Source organism: Homo sapiens, chromosome 5 (assembly GCF_000001405.40).
Source record: "Homo sapiens chromosome 5, GRCh38.p14 Primary Assembly".
NCBI lineage: Eukaryota > Metazoa > Chordata > Mammalia > Primates > Hominidae > Homo > Homo sapiens.
This window is the reverse complement of record NC_000005.10, coordinates 106,415,374-106,436,141: the sequence shown is the minus strand read 5'-3', so window position 1 is coordinate 106,436,141 and position 20,768 is coordinate 106,415,374. Positions and strand designations below refer to the sequence as shown.

At 37.1% G+C, this 20,768-nt stretch overlaps 1 pseudogene, besides 3 other annotated features; it reads left to right on the top strand.

Moving 5' to 3' along the window:
* Positions 4,648 to 5,148: an enhancer, noted in NCBI's record as "H3K4me1 hESC enhancer chr5:105766695-105767195 (GRCh37/hg19 assembly coordinates)". NCBI's record gives its function as "activates a minimal SCP1, AML or CMV promoter by ChIP-STARR-seq in naive H9 embryonic stem cells {active_cell/tissue: H9 hESC(naive)}" and the evidence as "EXISTENCE:reporter gene assay evidence [ECO:0000049][PMID:30033119]".
* Positions 5,149 to 5,649: an enhancer, noted in NCBI's record as "H3K4me1 hESC enhancer chr5:105766194-105766694 (GRCh37/hg19 assembly coordinates)". NCBI's record gives its function as "activates a minimal SCP1, AML or CMV promoter by ChIP-STARR-seq in naive H9 embryonic stem cells {active_cell/tissue: H9 hESC(naive)}" and the evidence as "EXISTENCE:reporter gene assay evidence [ECO:0000049][PMID:30033119]".
* Positions 12,549 to 13,049: an enhancer, noted in NCBI's record as "H3K27ac hESC enhancer chr5:105758794-105759294 (GRCh37/hg19 assembly coordinates)". NCBI's record gives its function as "activates a minimal SCP1, AML or CMV promoter by ChIP-STARR-seq in naive H9 embryonic stem cells {active_cell/tissue: H9 hESC(naive)}" and the evidence as "EXISTENCE:reporter gene assay evidence [ECO:0000049][PMID:30033119]".
* On the top strand, positions 18,689 to 20,043 carry LOC345571 (RUN and FYVE domain containing 3 pseudogene; annotated as a pseudogene).

Here is a 20,768-nt window from a genome sequence, read left to right as displayed (position 1 = left end):
CTTTTTAAAAGGTTTATCTTTTCTGCTCAGTTGTCTTATACATTTATCGTTATATAATTTTAATGATCTTTCATTTATTATAGCTTTATAATTAATGGAATTATCAGGTAAGTCAAGTTTCCCCTAGTTACACATCCTTCCCTTCAGATTTTTTGGTCTATGCCTTTACTTTTTTTTTAAGTTTCAAAATTTTAATTGAAAAAGTTGACAAAATCTGTGAAATTTTACCAAAGTTATTTGAAACTATAGATATTTTAAAGTAAACCATCATTAAAATATCATATTTTCAACCATTTATTTAGGTTTTTATAAATGTCTCTCAACTCAATTTTATAAATTAATCTATATATAATTTTTAGACACTCATTGACTCTATTTTGATACAGGTATTTCCTAATTTTTTGCTGATACTCCTTTTCCACGGTTACTATCAGTGACTAAAATCAAGAATATCATTTTAGTACTCATCTTGCTTGACCTATCAGCAATATTGAGAGAGCTGTACCTGCCTTCACGGAGTTCTCTTTCCTTTTCTTTCCTTACACTGCACATTCTTGGTTTTCCTTTTACCATGATAACCATTTTATTTTCAGCTTTCTTTGGCAGATCTTTTAAGGCCTCTTTCTTATATCTAAACTATTTATTCAGCTAATTTCTTCCTCTTCTGCTTACCAGTGTTAAAATAAAAAACTTCAGACAAATTACATTAAGCAGAGTTTAATTGAGCAAAGAACAATTCATGAACTGGGCAGCATTTTTCAGAATGAGGAAAGATTCCAAGAGCTCCACCTACCAACCTGGGCAGGCTGTCTTTACAGAAAGAAGAAGGAAATGACAACAGAAACAGTTTGATTGGTTACAGCTTGGCATTTGCCTTGTTGGACATAGATCAATTGGCATCCCATAAATGGCTGAAGCTCAGTTACTGTGATTGGCTGAGATTCAGCTATTTGTTAGAAGAATACATTCTTAGGTTAGCTTGCAATTTATTTACATACTAAGTTATATTGCAATTTGCTATGTATTAATTTAAAGTACAAGGGCAGCTTTAGGCCAAATATAATTTAATTTAATACTAACAAAATGTAATTTAAAAAATTCTCCAGACCTTTCTGATAGATCACTTTAAAAATAAGCTTTCAATACTGATTTATTAGAGTCATCCCAATATTAACATGCCTGTAATTGAACCCTTGATCCCAAATTTAAATAAAAAGAAAAAATGACATTTAAAACATTTCTCTTCTATCTCAGTAACTTATACCAACTGCAAAATGTATAGAGTTGCTAAAATACATTGCATCATTCCTAAAATATTTCACTGTTTCCTCTTGGTTTTAGAAAATAAATCCAAATTACTTGACATGACTGCAAGAACATGATTACCTAACCCTTACATCTGTATTTATTAACCTATTTTCCCACTCTCTTTTCTTATTGTCTTTAATCTGTTGTTATTTTCTTCAAATTTTTAAAATACTCTCAAATGTTTTTCCTTTTGACAAATCTCTTCCTTTCTCTTTATAAATTCTATTTACTATTCTGTTCTTAGCTTAAATGTCACTTTCACAAAAAGGCTTTCCATGACTACTCAGCTCTAACTAAAATCTCCCCATGTTATTATTTAAAATCCTGTTGTTTGGGCTGGGCATGATGGGATGGCTCACACCTGTAATCCCAGCACTTTGGGAAGGCGAGGTGGGTGGATCACATAAGGTCAGGAATTTGAGACCAGCCTGGGCAACATGGTGAAACCCTGTCTCTACTAAAACTACAAAAATTAGCCAGGTGTGGGTGGCATGCACCTGTAGTCCCAGCCACTCAGGAGTCTGAGTCTGGAGACTTGCTTGAACCCAGGAGGCAGAGGTTGCAGTGAGCCAAGATCATGCTACTGCACTCCAGCCTGGGTGAAAGAGCAAGACTACATCTCAAAAATAAATAAATAAAAATAAAATAAAATCTTGTTGTTTGTATATGTGCATATGTGTTTATTCTTAAATTAGATTATAAACTGTGTAAGAGCTCAAAGAGTGATTAGTATGTATTACTTTCTTACAAAATAGTTATGGAATAAATGACTTGATCTGAAATGGAATATTGTCGGTACTTAAAGCTATATTTGATTAATTTCTATTCTTTGTGGCAATACACACTCTTTTAAAAGACTTCCAGTAGTAAAAGGCTATATTTACAGGAACCAACCCTAGCAATTCTTAGTTTAATCCTGGGATTATTGGTGTGAATTATTGTTCAAGAATTTAAAGACTACAATTTTTTGCATATTAATTTTTTATATTACTAAGGGAGGCAAGCTTTCTTTTGTTTTGTTTTTGTTTTTGTTTTGTTTTGTTTTGTTTTGAGACTGAGTCTCACTCTGTCACCAGGCTGGAGTGCAGTGGCACGATCTCAGCTCACTGCAACCTCTGCCTCCCAGGTTCAAGTGATTCTCCTGCCTCAGCCACCTGTGTGGGAGGTAAGCTTTTAATAATTCATATACTCACACAATATTGAAAGCTTAAATTTATAGATCATATTATATCCTTCACATATTTTATGCACAATGTATTTACAATTCATATATAAAATTAGACCATAAAGTTAATAGGAAATATGTTGTGCCTAAGAGTATGAGTCTGGATTCTATTTTATGATAAATTCTGAGATACAGATTCATAATTTACTGACTGGAACTAGATATTACTTCATAGTAACTGTTGGCCTTGATGAACTTTTAATCGTCAAGGTTTTCCTGACCAGTATTTTCCACTTCTAGATAATTTTTAATTGATACAGAATATTCTCAGGCTACCTATCTAGTAATTTCTTTTGCATTTAAAATGGATTACTTCTGCAAAGCAAAGGACACCAATTATCTGCTTAACAGTGAAATGATTTCCATTTAAAGTAACTGTCAATAATATTTTTTTTAAAAAAACAGGATTATAAAATGTTTAAAATAACTAAAGTGTTAAAAGAATGTGCCTTCTAAAACCTTGATTTTACACAAAAATAATTTTTAGACTGAAAAATTGTAATATACTCAATCAGTTTTTAGAGCTTTTAAGTTTTAACATTTCTTTCTATATTTTGTATTATTTTTGGAAAGATACAAGAAGGGTAAATTTTAAAAACACCTTAAATAACAATCAAACTTGAATTATTGCTGTGCCCTCTGAATATTCACAAATACCTTATCAGATTAAATGAGAATGCCATATGTAAAAGCAATAAAAGGTATATTTATCCGCTAGAAATGCCTTAAGAAAAGTACCACAGATGAGGTGACTTAAACAACAGAATTTTTTTTTTTTCTAATAGTTCTGGAGGCTGAAAGCCCCAAGATCAAATTGCTTTCAGGGTTTGTTGATTTCTGATCAGGGCTCTCTTTCTGGTTTGCAGACAGCTCCCTTCTCACTATGTTTTCACATCACCTTTTCTCTGTCTCTGCATACTCCTGGTATTTCTTTTTCTCTCTCTTTCTCTTTAATCAAATAAGGACACCATTCCTATTGGATTAGCGTCCCTCCTATATGACCTCACTTAAGCTTAATTGTCTACTTAAAGGTCCTGTTTTCAAGTATCCTCACCTTGGGGATAAGGGCTTCAAATGCCATTTTGAAAGGACACATTTCAGTCCATAATAAAGGATATTTACAGTAATGACAAATTCATTTAAATTTTTTGTTGAAAATAAGAACTGACAGTTTGCAAACAATAGGCACACAGAAAACTGTTTGTGATTTTTCCAAATAAAAACTAAAACTGGGGAGAGGAGCAGAGCAAGATCACAGAGTAAAACTTTGGGGTGGAAAATTCTCTGCAGAAACCTTACAGGGCAGGACATAATTGGGTGATATATCCAAAATGCTGAAAGAAAGTAAAACCAACAACAACCTTTCAATCAAGAAGGCAGTACCCAGCAAAGCTATGTTTCAGAAAGAAGAATAAATAAAGACGTTCTCAGACAACAAAAGCTGAAGGAGTTTATTAACATCAGAACTGTCTTACAAGAAATAATAAAAGGAGTTCTTCAAGCTGAAAGAACACTGTACAAATGAGTAACATGAAAACATGAAAATATGAAACTAGAAAAGTAAGCATACAGTCAAACTCAGAATACTCTAATACTATAATAGTGATCTGTAAATCTATTATATTTTTAGTATGAAGGCTAAAATACAAAACAACTAAAACTAATAATAGCCACAGTAATTTTTTACAGACTAGGAAATTTATAAAAATGTATAAATGGTGACATCAAAAATTCAAAATGTTCTGTGGAGTAGAATAGAGCTGTACAGTTTTTTTTTCTTTTTGCAATTAAAGTTAAATTGTTTTCAGCTAAATATAGCCTTTTATAACTATAAGAACTTTTTGCCAGCCTCATAATAACAACCAAACAAAAGCAATAGAAAATACATAAAAAAGGCAAGAAATTAAAGCATACCACTATAGAAATTACTTAGCATCAAAAGACAGCAAAAGAAGAAGAAAAGAATGAAAAATCTACAAAACAACTAAATAACAATTAATAAAATGGCAGTAATAAGTTCTTACCAGATAGTAATTTCTTCAAATTAAATGAATTATATTCTGCAAATGAACGACCAAGTGGATAAATGTATTACCAAAAAGAACCAACTATATGCTGCCTAGAAGAGACTTACCTCACCTTTAAGGACACACAGAGAATAAAAGTGATAGAAAAAAAGGTATTCCATAAAAATGAAAATTAAATAAGTACAAGAATGGTTATATCCGGGGGAGGAGCCAACATGGCCGAATAGGAACAGCTCCGGTCTACAGCTCCCAGCGTGAGCGACACAGAAGATGGTGATTTCTGCATTTCCAACTGAGGTACCGGGTTCATCTCACTAGGGACTGCCAGACAGTGGGCGCAGGTCAGTGGGTGCGTGCGCCGAAGCAGGGCGAGGCATTGCCTCACTTGGGAAGCGCAGGGGTCAGGGAGTTCCCTTTCTGAGTCAAAGAAAGGGGTGACAGATGGCACCTGGAAAATCGGGTCACTCCCACCCGAATACTGCACTTTTCCAATGGGCTTAAAAAACGGTGCACCATGAGATTATATCCCGCACCTGGCTCGGAGGGTCCTACGCCAACGGAGTCTCGCTGATTGCTAGCACAGCAGTCTGAGATCAAACTGCAAGGCAGCAGCAAGGCTGGGGGAGCGGCGCCTACCATTGCCCAGGATTGATTAGGTAAACAAAGCAGCCTGGAAGCTACCACAGCTCAAGGAGGCCTGCCTGCCTCTGTAGGCTCCACCTCTGGGGGCAGGGCACAGACAAACAAAAAGACAGCAGTAACCTCTGCAGACTTAAATGTCCCTGTCTGACAGCTTTGAAGAGAGCAGTGGTTCTCCCAGCACGCAGCTGGAGATCTGAGAACAGACAGACTGCCTCCTCAAGTGGGTCCCTGACCCCTGACCCCCCAGCAGCCTAACTGGGAGGCACCCCCCAGCAGGGGCACACTGACACCTCACACGGCAGGGTATTCCAACAGACCTGCAGCTGAGGGTCCTCTCTGTTAGAAGGAAAACTAACAAATAGAAAGGACATCCACACCAAAAACCCATCTGTACATCACCATCATCAAAGACCAAAAGTAGATAAAACCACAAAGATGGGGAAAAAACAGAACAGAAAAACTGGAAACTCTAAAAAGCAGAGCGCCTCTCCTCCTCCAAAGGAACGCAGTTCCTCACCAGCAACGGAACAAAGCTGGATGGAGAATGACTTTGACGACCTGAGAGAAGAAGGCTTCAGACGATCAAATTACTCTGAGCTACGGGAGGACATTCAAAACAAAGGCAAAGAAGTTGAAAACTTTGAAAAAAATTTAGAAGAATGTATAACTAGAATAACGATTACAGAGAAGTGCTTAAAGGAGCTGATGGAGCTGAAAACCAAGGCTCGAGAACTACGTGAAGAATGCAGAAGCCTCAGGAGCCAATGCGATCAACTGGAAGAAAGGGTATCAGCGATGGAAGATGAAATGAATGGCATGAAGTGAGAAGGGAAGTTTAGAGAAAAAAGAATAAAAAGAAATGAGCAAAGCCTCCAAGAAATATGGGACTATGTGAAAAGACCAAATCTACATCTAATTGGTGTACCTGAAAGTGATGGGGAGAATGGAACCCAGTTGGAAAACACTCTGCAGGATATTATCCAGGAGAACTTCCCCAATCTAGCAAGGCAGGCCAATGTTCAGATTCAGGAAATACAGAGAAAGCCACAAAGATACTCCTCGAGAAGAGCAACTCCAAGACACATAATTATCCGATTCACCAAAGTTGAAATGAAGGAAAAATGTTAAGGGCAGCCAGAGAGAAAGGTCGAGTTACCCTCAAAGGGAAGCCCATCAGACTAACAGCAGATCTCTCGGCAGAAACCCTACAAGCCAGAAGAGAGTGGAGGCCAATATTCAACATTCTTAAAGACAAGAATTTTCAACCCAGAATTTCATATCCAGCAAAACTAAGCTTCATAAGTGAAGGAAAAATAAAATACCTTCCAGACAAGCAAATGCTGAGAGATTTTCTCACCACCAGGCCTGCCCTAAAAGAGCTCCTGAAGGAAGCAATAAACATGGAAAGGAACAACCGGTACCAGCCGCTGCAAAATCATGCCAAAATGTAAAGACCATCAAGACTAGGAAGAAACTGCATCAACTAACGAGCAAAATAACCAGCTAACATCATAATGACAGGATCAAATTCACACATAACAATATTAACTTTAAATGTAAATGGGCTAAATGCTCCAATTAAAAGATACAGACTGGCAAATTGGATAAAGAGTCAAGACCCATCAGTGTGCTGTATTCAGGAAACCCATCTCACGTGCAGAGACACACATAGGCTCAAAATAAAAGGATGGGGGAAGATCTACCAAGCAAATGGAAAACAAAAAAAGGCAGGGGTTGCAATCCTAGTCTCTGATAAAACAGACTTTAAACCAATGAAGATCAAAGGAGACAAAGAAGGCCATTACATAATGGAAAAGGGATCAATTCAACAAGAAGAGCTAACTATCCTAAATATATATGCACCCAATACAGGAGCACCTAGATTCATAAAGCAAGTCCTGAGTGACCTACAAAGAGACTTAGACTCCCACACAATAATAATGGGAGACTTTAACACCCCACTGTCAACATTAGACAGATCAACGAGACAGAAAGTCAACAAGGATACCCAGGAATTGAACTCAGCTCTGCACCAAGCAGACCTAATAGACATCTACAGAACTCTCCACCCCAAATCAACAGAATATACATTTTTTCAGCACCACACCACACCTATTCCAAAACTGACCACATACTTGGAAGTAAAGCTCTCCTCAGCAAATGTAAAAGAACAGAAATTACAACAAACTATCTCTCAGACCACAGTGCAATCAAACTAGAACTCAGGATTAAGAATCTCACTCAAATCCGCTCAACTACATGGAAACTGAACAACCTGCTCCTGAATGACTACTGGGTACATAACAAAATGAAGGCAGAAATAAAGATGTTCTTTGAAACCAACGAGAACAAAGACACAACATACCAGAATCTCTGGGACACATTCAAAGCAGTGTGTAGAGGGAAATTTATAGCACTAAATGCCCACAAGAGAAAGCAGGAAAGATCCAAAATTGACACCCTAACATCACAAGTAAAAGAACTAGAAAAGCAAGAGCAAACACATTCAAAAGCTAGCAGAAGCCAAGAAATAACTAAAATCAGAGCAGAACTGAAGGAAATAGAGACACAAAAAACCCTTCAAAAAATTAATGAAACCAGGAGCTGGTTTTTGGAAAGGATCAACAAAATTGATAGACCGCTAGCAAGACTAATAAAGAAAAAAAGAGAGAAGAATCGAATAGACGCAATAAAAAATGATAAAGGGGATATCACCACCGATCCCACAGAAATACAAACTACCATCAGAGAATACTACAAACCCCTCTACGCAAATAAACTAGAAAATCTAGAAGAAATGGATAAATTCCTTGACACATACACTCTCCCAAGACTAAACCAGGAAGAAGTTGAATCTCTGAATAGACCAATAACAGGAGCTGAAATTGTGGCAATAATCAATAGCTTACCAACCAAAAAGAGTCCAGGACCAGATGGATTCACAGCTGAATTCTACCAGAGGTACAAGGAGGAACTGGTACCATTCCTTCTGAAACTATTCCAATCAATAGAAAAAGAGGGAATCCTCCCTAACTCATTTTATGAGGCCAGCATCATTCTGATACCAAAGCCAGGCAGAGACACAACAAAAAAAGAGAATTTTCGACCAATATCCTTGATGAACATTGATGCAAAAATCCTCAGTAAAATACTGGCAAAACGAATCCAGCAGCACATCAAAAAGCTTATCCACCATGATCAAGTGGGCTTCATCCCTGGGATGCAAAGCTGGTTCAATATACACAAATCAATAAATGTAATCCAGCATATAAACAGAGCCAAAGACAAAAACCACATGATTATCTCAATAGATGCAGAAAAAGCCTTTGACAAAATTCAACAACACTTCATGCTAAAAACTCTCAATAAATTAGTTATTGATGGGATGTATTTCAAAATAATAAGAGCTATCTATGTCAAACCCACAGCCAATATCATACTGAATGGGCAGAAACTGGAAACATTCCATTTGAAAACTGGCACAAGACAGGGATGCCCTCTCTCAGCACTCCTATTCAACATAGTGTTGGAAGTTCTGGCCAGGGCAATTAGGCAGGAGAAGGAAATAAAGGGTATTCAATTAGGAAAAGAGGAAGTCAAATTGTCCCTGTTTGCAGACGACATGATTGTATATCTAGAAAACCCCGTTGTCTCAGCCCAAAATCTCCTTAAGCTGATAAGCAACTTCAGCAAAGTCTCAGGATACAAAATCAATGTACAAAAATCACAAGCATTCTTATACACCAATAACAGACAAACAGAGAGCCAAATCATGAGTGAACTCCCATTCACAATTGCTTCAAAGAGAATAAAATACCTAGGAATCCAACTTACAAGGGATGTGAAGGACCTCTTCAAGGAGAACTACAAACCACTGCTCAAGGAAATAAAAGAGGATACAAACAAATGGAAGAACATTCCATGCTCATGGGTAGGAAGAATCAATATCGTGAAAATGGCCATACTTCCCAAGGTAATTTACAGATTCAATGCGATCCCCATCAAGCTACCAACGCCTTTCTTCACAGAATTGGAAAAAACTACTTTAAAGTTCATATGGAACCAAAAAAGAGCCCGCATCACCAAGTCAATCCTAAGCCAAAAGAACAAAGCTGGAGGCATCACACTACCTGACTTCAAACTATACTACAAGGCTACAGTAACCAAAACAGCGTGGTACTGGAACCAAAACAGAGATATAGATCAATGGAACACAACAGAGCCCTCAGAAATAACGCCGCATATCTACAACTATCTGATCTTTGACAAACCTGAGAAAAACAAGCAATGGGGAAAGGATTCCCTATTTAATAAATGGTGCTGGGAAAACTGGCTAGCCATAGGTAGAAAGCTGAAACTGGATCCCTTCCTTACACCTTATACAAAAATCAATTCAAGATGGATTAAAGACTTAAACGTTAGACCTAAAACCATAAAAACCCTAGAAGAAAACCTAGGCATTACCATTCAGGACATAGGCATGGGCAAGGACTTCATGTCTAAAACACCAAAAGCAATGGCAACAAAAGACAAAATTGACAAATGGGGTCTAATTAAACTAAAGAGCTTCTGCACAGCAAAAGAAACTACCATCAGAGTGAACAGGCAACTTACAAAATGGGAGAAAATTTTCGCAACCTACTCATCTGACAAAGGGCTAATATCCAGAATCTACAATGAACTCAAACAAATTTACAAGAAAAAACAAACAACCCCATCAAAAAGTGGGTGAAGGACATGAACAGACACTTCTCAAAAGAAGACATTTATGCAGCCAAAAAACACATGAAACAATGCTCATCATCACTGGCCATCAGAGAAATGCAAATCAAAACCACAATGAGATACCATCTCACACCAGTTAGAATGGCAATCATTAAAAAGTCAGGAAACAACAGGTGCTGAAGAGGATGTGGAGAAATAGGAACACTTTTACACTGTTGATGTGACTGTAAACTAGTTCAACCATTGTGGAAGTCAGTGTGGCAATTCCTCAGGGATCTAGAACTGGAAATACCATTTGACCCAGCCATCCCATTACTGGGTATATACCCAAAGGACTATAAATCATGCTGCTATAAAGACACATGCACACGTATGTTTATTGCAGCATTATTCACGATAGCAAAGACTTGGAACCAACCCAAATGTCCAACAATGATAGACTGGATTAAGAAAATGTGGCACATATACACCATGGAATACTATGCAGCCATAAAAAAGGATGAGTTCATGTCCTTTGTAGGGACACGGATGAAATTGGAAAACATCATTCTCAGTAAACTGTCGCAAGAACAAAAAACCAAACACCGCATATTCTCACTCACAGGTGGGAATTGAACAATGAGATCACATGGACACAGGAAGGAGAATATCACACTCTGGGGACTGTTGTGGGGTGGGGGAATGGGGGAGGGATAGCATTGGGAGATATACCTAATGCTAGATGACAAGTTAGTGGGTGCAGTGCACTAGCATGGCACATGTATACATATGTAACTAACCTGCACAATGTGTACATGTACCCTAAAACTTAAAGTATAAAAAAAAAAAAGAATGGTTATATCCACAGCAACTAAACCAGACTTTCAAAAGTGTAAAAAGAGACAAAGAAGGGCATTATTTAATAATAAAGGGGTAAATTCATTTAGATGATACTATATTTATAAATATATACTGAATATTGGAGCACCTAAATATATAAAGCAAATGTAAATATTTCTGAAAGGAGAGCTAGACAACAATACAATACTAGTAGGGAATTTAAACACCAGAATTTTTCTGTCATCTAGACAGAAAATAAATCAACATCCTAGTTAATCTACATTCTAGATCAAATGAACCTAACAGACATATACAAAACATTCCATCCAACAGCTGAAGAATGTACATTCTTCTCAACTGCACATGAGACAATCTCTAGGACAGATCACACGTTAGGCCACAAAACAATTCTTGAATAATATAAGATTTTAAAATTTATATTGAGTATTGTTTCTGACCACAATGGTATAAAACAAGAAATCAATAATAGGAGAAGCTTCAGGAAATTCACAAATATGTAGAAATTAAACAACATGTTCTTCAACAACCAATAGGTCAATGAAGAAACTAAAAGAAAAATTTTAAATTTATTGAGACAAAAAAAAACAACACACATACCAAAACCTATGGGATACAGCAAAATCAGTTCAAAGACAGAAGTTTATAGTGACATATAGCTACACCAAAAAAGAAAAAAAAAGATCTCAAATAAAACACTTAATGTTGCATCTCAGGGAACCAGAAAAACAAGAATAAACTAAGCACAAACTTTGTAGAAGAAAGAAAATAATAAAAATTAGAGTAGAAATAAATGAAGTAGGGACTAGAAAAACAATATAAAAGATCAACAAGTTTATGAGTTGTTTATCTGAAAAGATAAATTGAGAAACCTTTAGCTAGACTAAGAAAAACAAAAAAGACAAATAGATAAAATCAGAAAGAAAAAGGAGACATTATAGCTGATACAAAGAAATACAAAGTATCATGAGACTATTATGAACAACTATATGTAACAAATTGGATAATATAGAAGAAATTGATACATTCTTTGATGCATACAACCTACCAGGAGTGAGTTATGAAGAAAATAGAAACTCGCAAGAGACCAGTAACAAGTAAGGATGTTGAATTAGTAATAAAATGCCTCAAATCAAAGAACAGCCAAAAACCTCATCACTTCACTGCTGAATTCTATCAGTCATTTAAATAACTAATACTAATTCTCCTCAAACTCTTTCAAAAAAAATAAAGAGGAAGAAATACTTACAAAATTATTTTATGAGGCCAGCTAAGCCTGATGCAAAACCAAATATATCACAAAAAAAGAAAACTGCAGGCTGAGACCCCTTGATGGGTATAGAAGCAAAAATCCTCAGCAAACTTCTGCCAAACTGAATTTAACAGGACAGAAAAAAGATCATTAACATGACCAAATGGTACTAAATCCAGGGCTGCAGGAATGGTTCAACATACTGTCACAGGATCCTTTGGGTGTCGCTTCACTAGACAGAAACCTCTGTGGTTGGTGGGGCCTCTGCCTGAGTTTTGATCATGCCTGCTGGGCTTGTTCCACCCACTCAGCCCAGCAGGCTGCATCTGGTTCACACTACTGACCTGGATCCCACACCTGCCAAGGGCAAGCCAGGCGCACAGCAGCAAACCATGTGTGAGTGACTGAACATGGGGTCCGGCCACTGTGCACAGTCATGCATGTCAGCTGCTGCAGTGGGGCAGGCAGCTTCAGGCACTGGCACAGGCGTTGGCTCTGTGTGAAGCTGTGGCTGGACCAGACATACCGCAAGCAACTTCCGCTGCAGGCACCAGCATCTGAATGAGGGAAATGTGGTGGTGCCTGAAAGCTCAGAGACGCCAGGAACTGCAGAGTCCCAAAGAGTGTGTTAGGGCATGTCACAGCCCTGGCTCAGGAAGCCCTGAGGTCTGAACTCCCAGAAGGGCTGCAGCTCTTTTCTCCTCCTTCTTTTTGTCATCTGCAGCACGGTAAGTAAGGGGGTAGGTTTGTTGCAGGCCCATTTGTGTTACAGCTATTTCAGTCTTACTGCCCTGCTCTGGCCAGTGGCTCCTGGGCTGGTCCAGCCTCACCACTGCTTGGTGTTGTGTGGGTCAGCCACCCAGCACCAGCAGAGGGTGAGAGGGCTATAGTGTTACAGCTCTGGTTCAGGGAGTCCTAAGGTCTGGGACCCCAGAAGGGTCATCACTTTTCACTCCCACGATCTGGGAGCATGTCATCACCCACAGCCTGGTAAGCCAGCCAGGAATGTGTTAAAGCCCCTTTCATGCCTGCTGTTTGGCAGTCCCGAGTTCTTGTCCCATGTCCAGGAAGAATGAGGTTACATGGACAATTAGAGGGTGAGCAAGGTGGAGAAGAGCTTTACTGGGTGACCAAAAGGCTGTCCGCAGAGAGGAGACACAAAGTGGGTATATCCTATCAGCAGTAAGGTGGTCCCAAGGAGTGTCTAATCTGGCTGGATAAAGCATCACTTGATTGACCAAAAGGCACCAAGAAAGTTCTCATTCCTGGTGGAGGACTTCACCTGGAACTGGAAGCCCAACCCCATAGGTTCAGGCCATCCCTGGCTTGAAGGTGCTGTTTCACTAGGGACCCACCCCTTCCTGCCTAGGAAACTGTCTGCCTCTCGCCACCAATGTCTAAATTAACAAATGTGAAACATCACTTTAATAGAATAAGGAACAAAATTCATACACTCATTATAATAGATGCAGAAAATGCATTGAATACAATTTAACTTTATTTTATTGTTAAAAACACTGAACAAATCAGGTATAGAATGTACCTAAACACAAGAAAGACTATATAAGACAAAGCAATAGCTAACATAATATTCAACAGTGAAAATTTGAAAGCTTTTTCTCACAGATCTGGAATAAGACAAGAATGCCCACTCTTGCTCCTTTTATTTAATATAGAACTTCAGGTTTTAACCAGGGCAATTAGGCAAGAGGAAGAAATAAAAGATATCCAAATCATAAATGAATAAGTTAAATTGTCTGTCTTTGCAAATATGATGTTATAATATAGAAAACCCTAAAGATGCCACCAAACAACTACTAGGATTAATAAAAGAATTCAGTCAAGTTGCAGAATAAAAAGTCACCATGCAAAAATCTGTTTGAAGCTGTGGCTGGACCAGACATACCACAAGCAACTTCCACTGCAGGCACCAGCATCTGAATGAGGGAAATGTGGTTTTATATACTAACAGCAAATTATCTGAAAAAGAAAATGTATAACTAACCCATTTATAATAGTTACAAAAAAAAATTAAGAAGGTGAAAAATCTCTCCATTAAAAACTATAAAACATTGATATTGAAGAAGACACAAATACATGGGAAGATTTCTTGTGTTCATAGATCTGAAGAATTAATATTGATAAAATGATCTTATTATCCAAAGCAATCTACAAATTCAACACAATCCCTATCAAAATGCCAATGACTTTCTTCACAGAAATAGGAAAAATACCTTAAAATTATTATGGAACCACAAAGATCCTAAATACCCAAAGCAATTTTGAGCAAAAAGAAGAAAGTTTGGAGACATCACACTACCTGAATCAAAATACCCTACAAAACTGTAGTAAATAAAATAGCATATTTCTGTAATAAAAACAGACACGTAGAACATTGGAATAGAATACAGAACCCAGAAGTAAATCCACATATTTACAGTCAACTGATATTCACCAAAGGCATCAAGAACATACAGTGATGCATGGACAGGCTCTCTAATAAATGCTATTGGGAAAACTAGATATGCACATGCAGAAGAAAAACATTAGACCCTATCTCACACCATATACCAAAATAAACTCAAAAATAATTAAAGACTTACATGTAAGACCCAAAACTATGAAACTACTAGAAAAAAATAGAGAAAAATCTCCATTACACTGTTCTGGGCAATAACTTTGAATATGGCCCCAAAAGCACAGGCAACGCTAGCAAAAATAGACAAATGGGATTACATCAAACTAAAAAGGTTCTTCACAACAAAGGAAACAATCAACAGAATAAAGAGACAACCTACTGAACAGGAAAAATATTAGCAAACTATGTATTTAATAAGGGGTTAATACACATAATATAGAAGGAACTCAAACAACTCAATAGCAAAAGAAGCAATAACTCAAAAACTGTACAATGGACTTGAATAGGCATTTTTCAAAAGACAACATTCAAATAGCAATCAGGTACATAAAAAACAATGTTCAACATCATTGATTATCAGGAAAATGCAAATCCAAACCACAGTGAGATATGACCAAGATATGACCAAGCACATGTTAGAACGGCTATGATCAAAGACAAGAGCTAAGTGTTAGCAAGGAAGTAAAGGAAAGGAAACATTTGCCCATTGTTGGTGGGAATGTGTATTAGTACAGCCATTATGGAAACAATATGGAGCTTTCTCAAAAAATTAAAAATAAGACCACCACATGATCCAGCATTCCCACTACTGGGTATACATCCAAAGGAAATGAAATCAGTCTGTTGAAGCAATATTTGCACTGCTATGTTTGTTTTAGTATTATTCACAATAACCAAGATATAACCTAAGTGTCTATCAACAGATTAATGAAAAAAGAAAATATTTATATGTACACACTGGAATACTATTCAGCTATCAAAAGAAGGACAGTCTGGATAAACCTAAAGGACATTATGCTAAGTGAAATAAGTCAGACACAGAAAGACAAATACTGCATTATCTAATTCATATGTGGAATCTAAAAAAAGTTAATCTCACAGAAGTAGAGAACAGGAGAGTGATACCAGGTACTGGGTTGGTAGGGGTAGGTGTTGGGGAAACATTGGTCAATGGATACAAAATTCCAATTAGAGAAGAGAAAAAAGTTCAGGACATCTATTGTATAATACAGTAACTATGGTTAGGTAACTATGTGAGGTAATACATATGTTAATTATATAGATTTAATCATTCCACAATGTATATTTATACTCCAAAATATCATGTTATCCACAGTGAACAGATATTATTTTGTCCATAAATTTAAAAAAATTAATGTTCACAATGTAAAATTGATTACGTAATAGCATTATAATCAGTTGAGAACAGCAACATATAATTATTTCATATACACACACACATTCCATGTACACATTCAGGGAAAATTAAATTTGAAATTCAGATTCAATTTTCCTTATATCATGGTTGCATCTAGAACCTCTGTATAGATAAAGTTTAGCGAAAGACTTTTGTCCGGGAGTATTTGCGTGGTGGGAATGGATAGGGGTGTGTGGGTGTGTTTGTGTGTTTCTGCTTTTTGCAAAAGCAGAGTAGGCAGCTCACTTTAAAGCTGGGTTTTTCTAGGAAGTACACTGATTTTGATTAAATTTTATGTTTATTGAGGGGTGGCTGAGTTTGACAATCTCTCAAAACACCTTCATGCTTTTTCTAGTGTAAACAATATTAGCACAAAAGCACTTTTCTTAATCTTAGCAAAACTTAATCTTAGCAAGAACTTTGAAGGTTAAAAACTATACAATGTACTGAACTTGTCAGAAGTAATGGGGGAAAAAAGGAAAAACCAACTATGTTAAAGAAAAACTGAGGTGTTATATAAATATGTCTCTTTCTATAGCTAGTGTGTGTGTGTCTATATGCTTTCTTTTTACATAGCATAATGCATATGGTCATTCTGTACCATCATTTTTTCAGTAGATTATTGTTTTCAAACTATTAGCTTTTAATACCACAGCTGTCCTCAGCATCTGATAATCAAAGCTTCTAAGATTCTCATCTTACTTTCTCAGCAAAATTTTACTTTGTTAGCAATAGTACCAGGATGATCTATACCATATATGTCATGATATATGCCTAATTAGAATTATGTAAAATGCTACAATGCCTATGTAGAGAATAATTTTCTGCCAAATATGATAACATAGATATAAAATATAAGTGAAGACAGAAAATGTATGCATACATTTTTGGGAAAGATGTGGATAAGTACAATCATGCCCAGTCACTAAAACAACATTGGACTTCAGTTGCTAAAACTAGAAAAGAAAACAAATCCAAACTAAATTTTGTGTATGTGCTTTTTATATTGTACTTACATTTTCAAAAGAATCTGAATTTCTCCCTGCCCACCGTGTCCAACATAAGCATCATTTTTTTTTCTTGGAAAAGCTACTCCTTTTCCCACTGTTTAACACCTTCATATTTAATATCTTTAAAAATTGTTTTTAATTAATTCTGTCAGGAAATGTATACTGCATATTAATCCATCTCTCTCAAATATTTTTAGTAACCATGAAACTTAACCTTCTTTTCTACTAACTTATAGGTTCCCTTCCTCTTTTGAAGTTCTGTAAGCATAAGTGTTTACAATGCATCAAGCATTTAAAGATTTTGAATGGTTAATTATTAAAAATTCCCTTTTGAATTGGATGGCACTCTTAGAGGCCATGTGGAAGAATCCAAAATTTTTTCATCACTAAAATGAAAATGATAAGTACATTAATCACTGTTTTTGGTGAGATTTGCTTATGTAAATCACAGTGTATGGCAACACATTCAAAACATGTTTAAAATATTGCTTTGAAAGCATTTCAAAACATTTTTTAAAATTTACAACTTTACATAAAAATTATTTGATGATTTTCAATGCTATCTCAGTCTCACAAAGTGAGGAAGACACACATACTCTTTGTTTTGAATTAAAAATAATACCTGAATAGTCTAAATTTTCTTGCATCAGATTAAAATGTAACTTGTCAACTTTCTTGCTAAATTAGTAGGACCTTGTTTTGTGGGGGTGGGCGAAGAGAGGCAAAAAAATAGTAAAAATATAATTTCCATTTTTAATAATACAGTGATGTATTGCAATTGCAGTAACATAACTATATAATTTTTTTTTTCTGAAAGTGACCCAAATAGTTCCATTACCACTGTGAATAAGTCATTCAACCATTGTGGTTAGAGAAGTTTACTTTAACAATTTCCATGCTTAAGGCCTCTCACTAAACGATAATTCTGTGGTGGTGACTTTTTGGTGTGTCTAATTGTCCACAAAACCATACTTAAAACTGGTATTTCATGTAATTTAGAACCAAGTATTTAAAATAGAATAAGAAATATTTACAAAGCTGATTATTTCATAAAAATAGGGATCTCTCAAATGTCAAAGACAAAAACATATATGATATTAAATACAGGTTTATACGTAGTATAATAAAAGACTGTGGTAAAAATACAAAAAGTAGAATACAATTCCCATAAAACATATTTGGAAATAAAATTTAATGTCACAGATTAATTTTTTAACAATCGTTATCAATTTATTGTTTAAGCATTTCCTAATGAAGGCAAACAGCACTAGCAAAACTTTCTAAATTTTCCTAATATTCTAAAATATTTATATATTAATTACCATAGCGATAAAGTAATTATCCTGTGTATCTAGGTTTTAGATGTGTGACATTAACGAAGAACTCTGGTTTTAAACCTATATATTTTTTCTGAGGTAGACAAAAAAAGGGATCCTCATTGCAAGCCTTTCTCAAAATTAGTGTAACCCTCAGAACAGCCTGAGTTTTAGCTGGCCTCAGAGAATGTTTACAAAAACTGACGAAATTTCATCATTACGGCACTCAATGATTGAAGCCAACATATCCAATAAACTTCTATTGAACTTTGTGCTGAGGTTGTGAGCATGATGCAGAGATAATTTGGAGTGGGATGGTAGTTTGTTTTGTCCATAATGAGTTTTTGGTTAAAAAAAAAATTATACGCATATAAAAAAAATTATACGCATATAAAATAGAGACTGATTTTTCTTTTCTTTTCTTTTCTTTTCTTTTCTTTTTCTAGTCTCAGGAAGCTTATAAAACTGCTTATAGGAGAGGGCGAGAAGGGGCCGCCGCCGGCCTCCCCCGCCGGGCAGTCGGAGGCTGCCTTGCCGTGGCCGCCCCCTTCTTCCTGCTGTACCCAGGCGATCGAGGAGCCGGCTTCGGAGTGCGCCCACAGCTGAGCAGCAGCGCTCCTGGAGGACCCCGCTGTCGCCTGCTGCCCGCTACCCTTCCTGCTGCTGAGCTACCTGAGCAGCAGCGCTGCAGCGGCAGCGGCAAGCACCATCCTAATTATCTCATGGCTAAGGAACACATGAACCTCATGAACACGGCCAAGCTGACTATCAAGGGCTTGACTGAATCAGCTCTGAACCTGGAGAGGACTCTTGACTCTGACTATGCACCTCTTCAGCAATTCTTTGTGGTGATGGAGCACTGTCTGAAATATGGCTTGAAAGCTCTAAAAAAAAAAAAAAAAAAACTTGGACAAAATAAATCCTTCTGGGGGGCTCTAGAACTGGTAGAAAAGCCTGTTCCAGGAGCCGCAGAGATAACAGCAAGTTTTAAAGATCTTCCAGGACTTAAGACGCCAGTAGGTAGAGGAAGAGCCTGCCTTCGCTTGGCATTAATGCAAAAGAAACTTTCAAATATATGAAAGCTTTGATCAATAAGAAAGAACTTCTCAGTGAATTCTACGAACCCAGTGCCCTTATGATGGAAGAAGAAGGAGCCATAATTGCTGGCCTGTTGGTGGGTCTGAATGTAACTGATGCCAATTTCTGTGTGAAAGGAGAAGACTTGGACTCTCAGGCTGGAGTTACAGATTTTTCAATGTATCTCAAGGACGGGAACAGCAGTAAAGTTAGTGAAGGAGACAGTCAGATTACTGCGATTCTGGACCAGAAGAACTTTGTAGAAGAACCCAACAGACATTTGAATGCTACTGTAAACAACCTTCAGGCAAAAGTAGATGCATTAGAAAAATCCAACACTAAACTGACAGAGGAGCTTGCGGTTGCAAACAACAGGATTATTACCTTACAAGAAGAAATGTAACGAGTTAGAGAGGAAAGTTCCTACATACTGGAATCCAGTTGAAAGGGTCCCAAGCAAGACAGAACTGCAACAGGGCAAGCACTAAATGAAGCAAGAAAGCATTTAAAAGAAGAGACACAATTACCACTGGATGTTGAAAAAGAACTGGAGATGCAGATCAGCATGAGGCAGGAGATATGAAGATGCTGGAGAAGGATGTCTGTGAGAAGCAGGATGCCCTGGTATGTCTTCAGCAGCAGGTGGATGATCTCAGGCCCCTCAAGCATGAACTTGCCTTTAAGCTGCAGAGTTCAGACTTAGGAGTAAAACAGAAAAGTGAACTAAATAGTAGCTTGGAAGAGAAGACTAATCAGATGGCTGTTATCATTAAACAACTTGAACAAAGATTGCACCAGGCTGAGCAGAGCTGTCGGTCTGCTGAGTTGGACAACCGGCTCTTCAAACAGGACTTTGAAGACAAGATCAACTGTCTGCAGCTAAAAGTCGAGGAGCTCACCAGGCAGCAGAACCAGCTTGAGTTGGAACTAAAACAGGAAAAAGAAAGAAAATTACAAAACAACAGGAGTATCCCAGGAAAGGGTTCCCAGAAGCCAGAATCCAAGATGGATGGGAAGCATAAAATGCAAGAGGAAAATGTTAAACTAAAAATGCCTCTGGAAGAAAGCCACAGACTGCAACCCCATCCTATGGATGAACAGGATCAGCTGCTGCTCTCTGAGAAACCACAGGTATGTCAGCTACGCCGGGAAGATGTCAGCCTAACAAAGAATGTGTGTAAAAACTGCAGAGGAACCTTCTGTGATGCCTGTTCAACAAATGAACTGCCTCTTCCTTCAACTATGAAGCCTGAGCGAGTTTGCAGCCCCTGTCACAAGCATCTGATGAAGCAATATTCCACCAGCCCATCATAAGACTGGAGGCCAAGACCTGGACCGAAAAGTTTATGCAAGCTAATCTGTACCTGTATTTTAGGTGTCAGGATCTCCTAGAGCCAGTCCCTAGAGTGAACTAAAGAGTTGATAGGAATTAACTAGATCCAGGGAGAAAAGGCAGTGTTTGGGGTTACTGGAAATTTTGCTTGTTTTCCCTAATAATTGTATGAATAAAAGC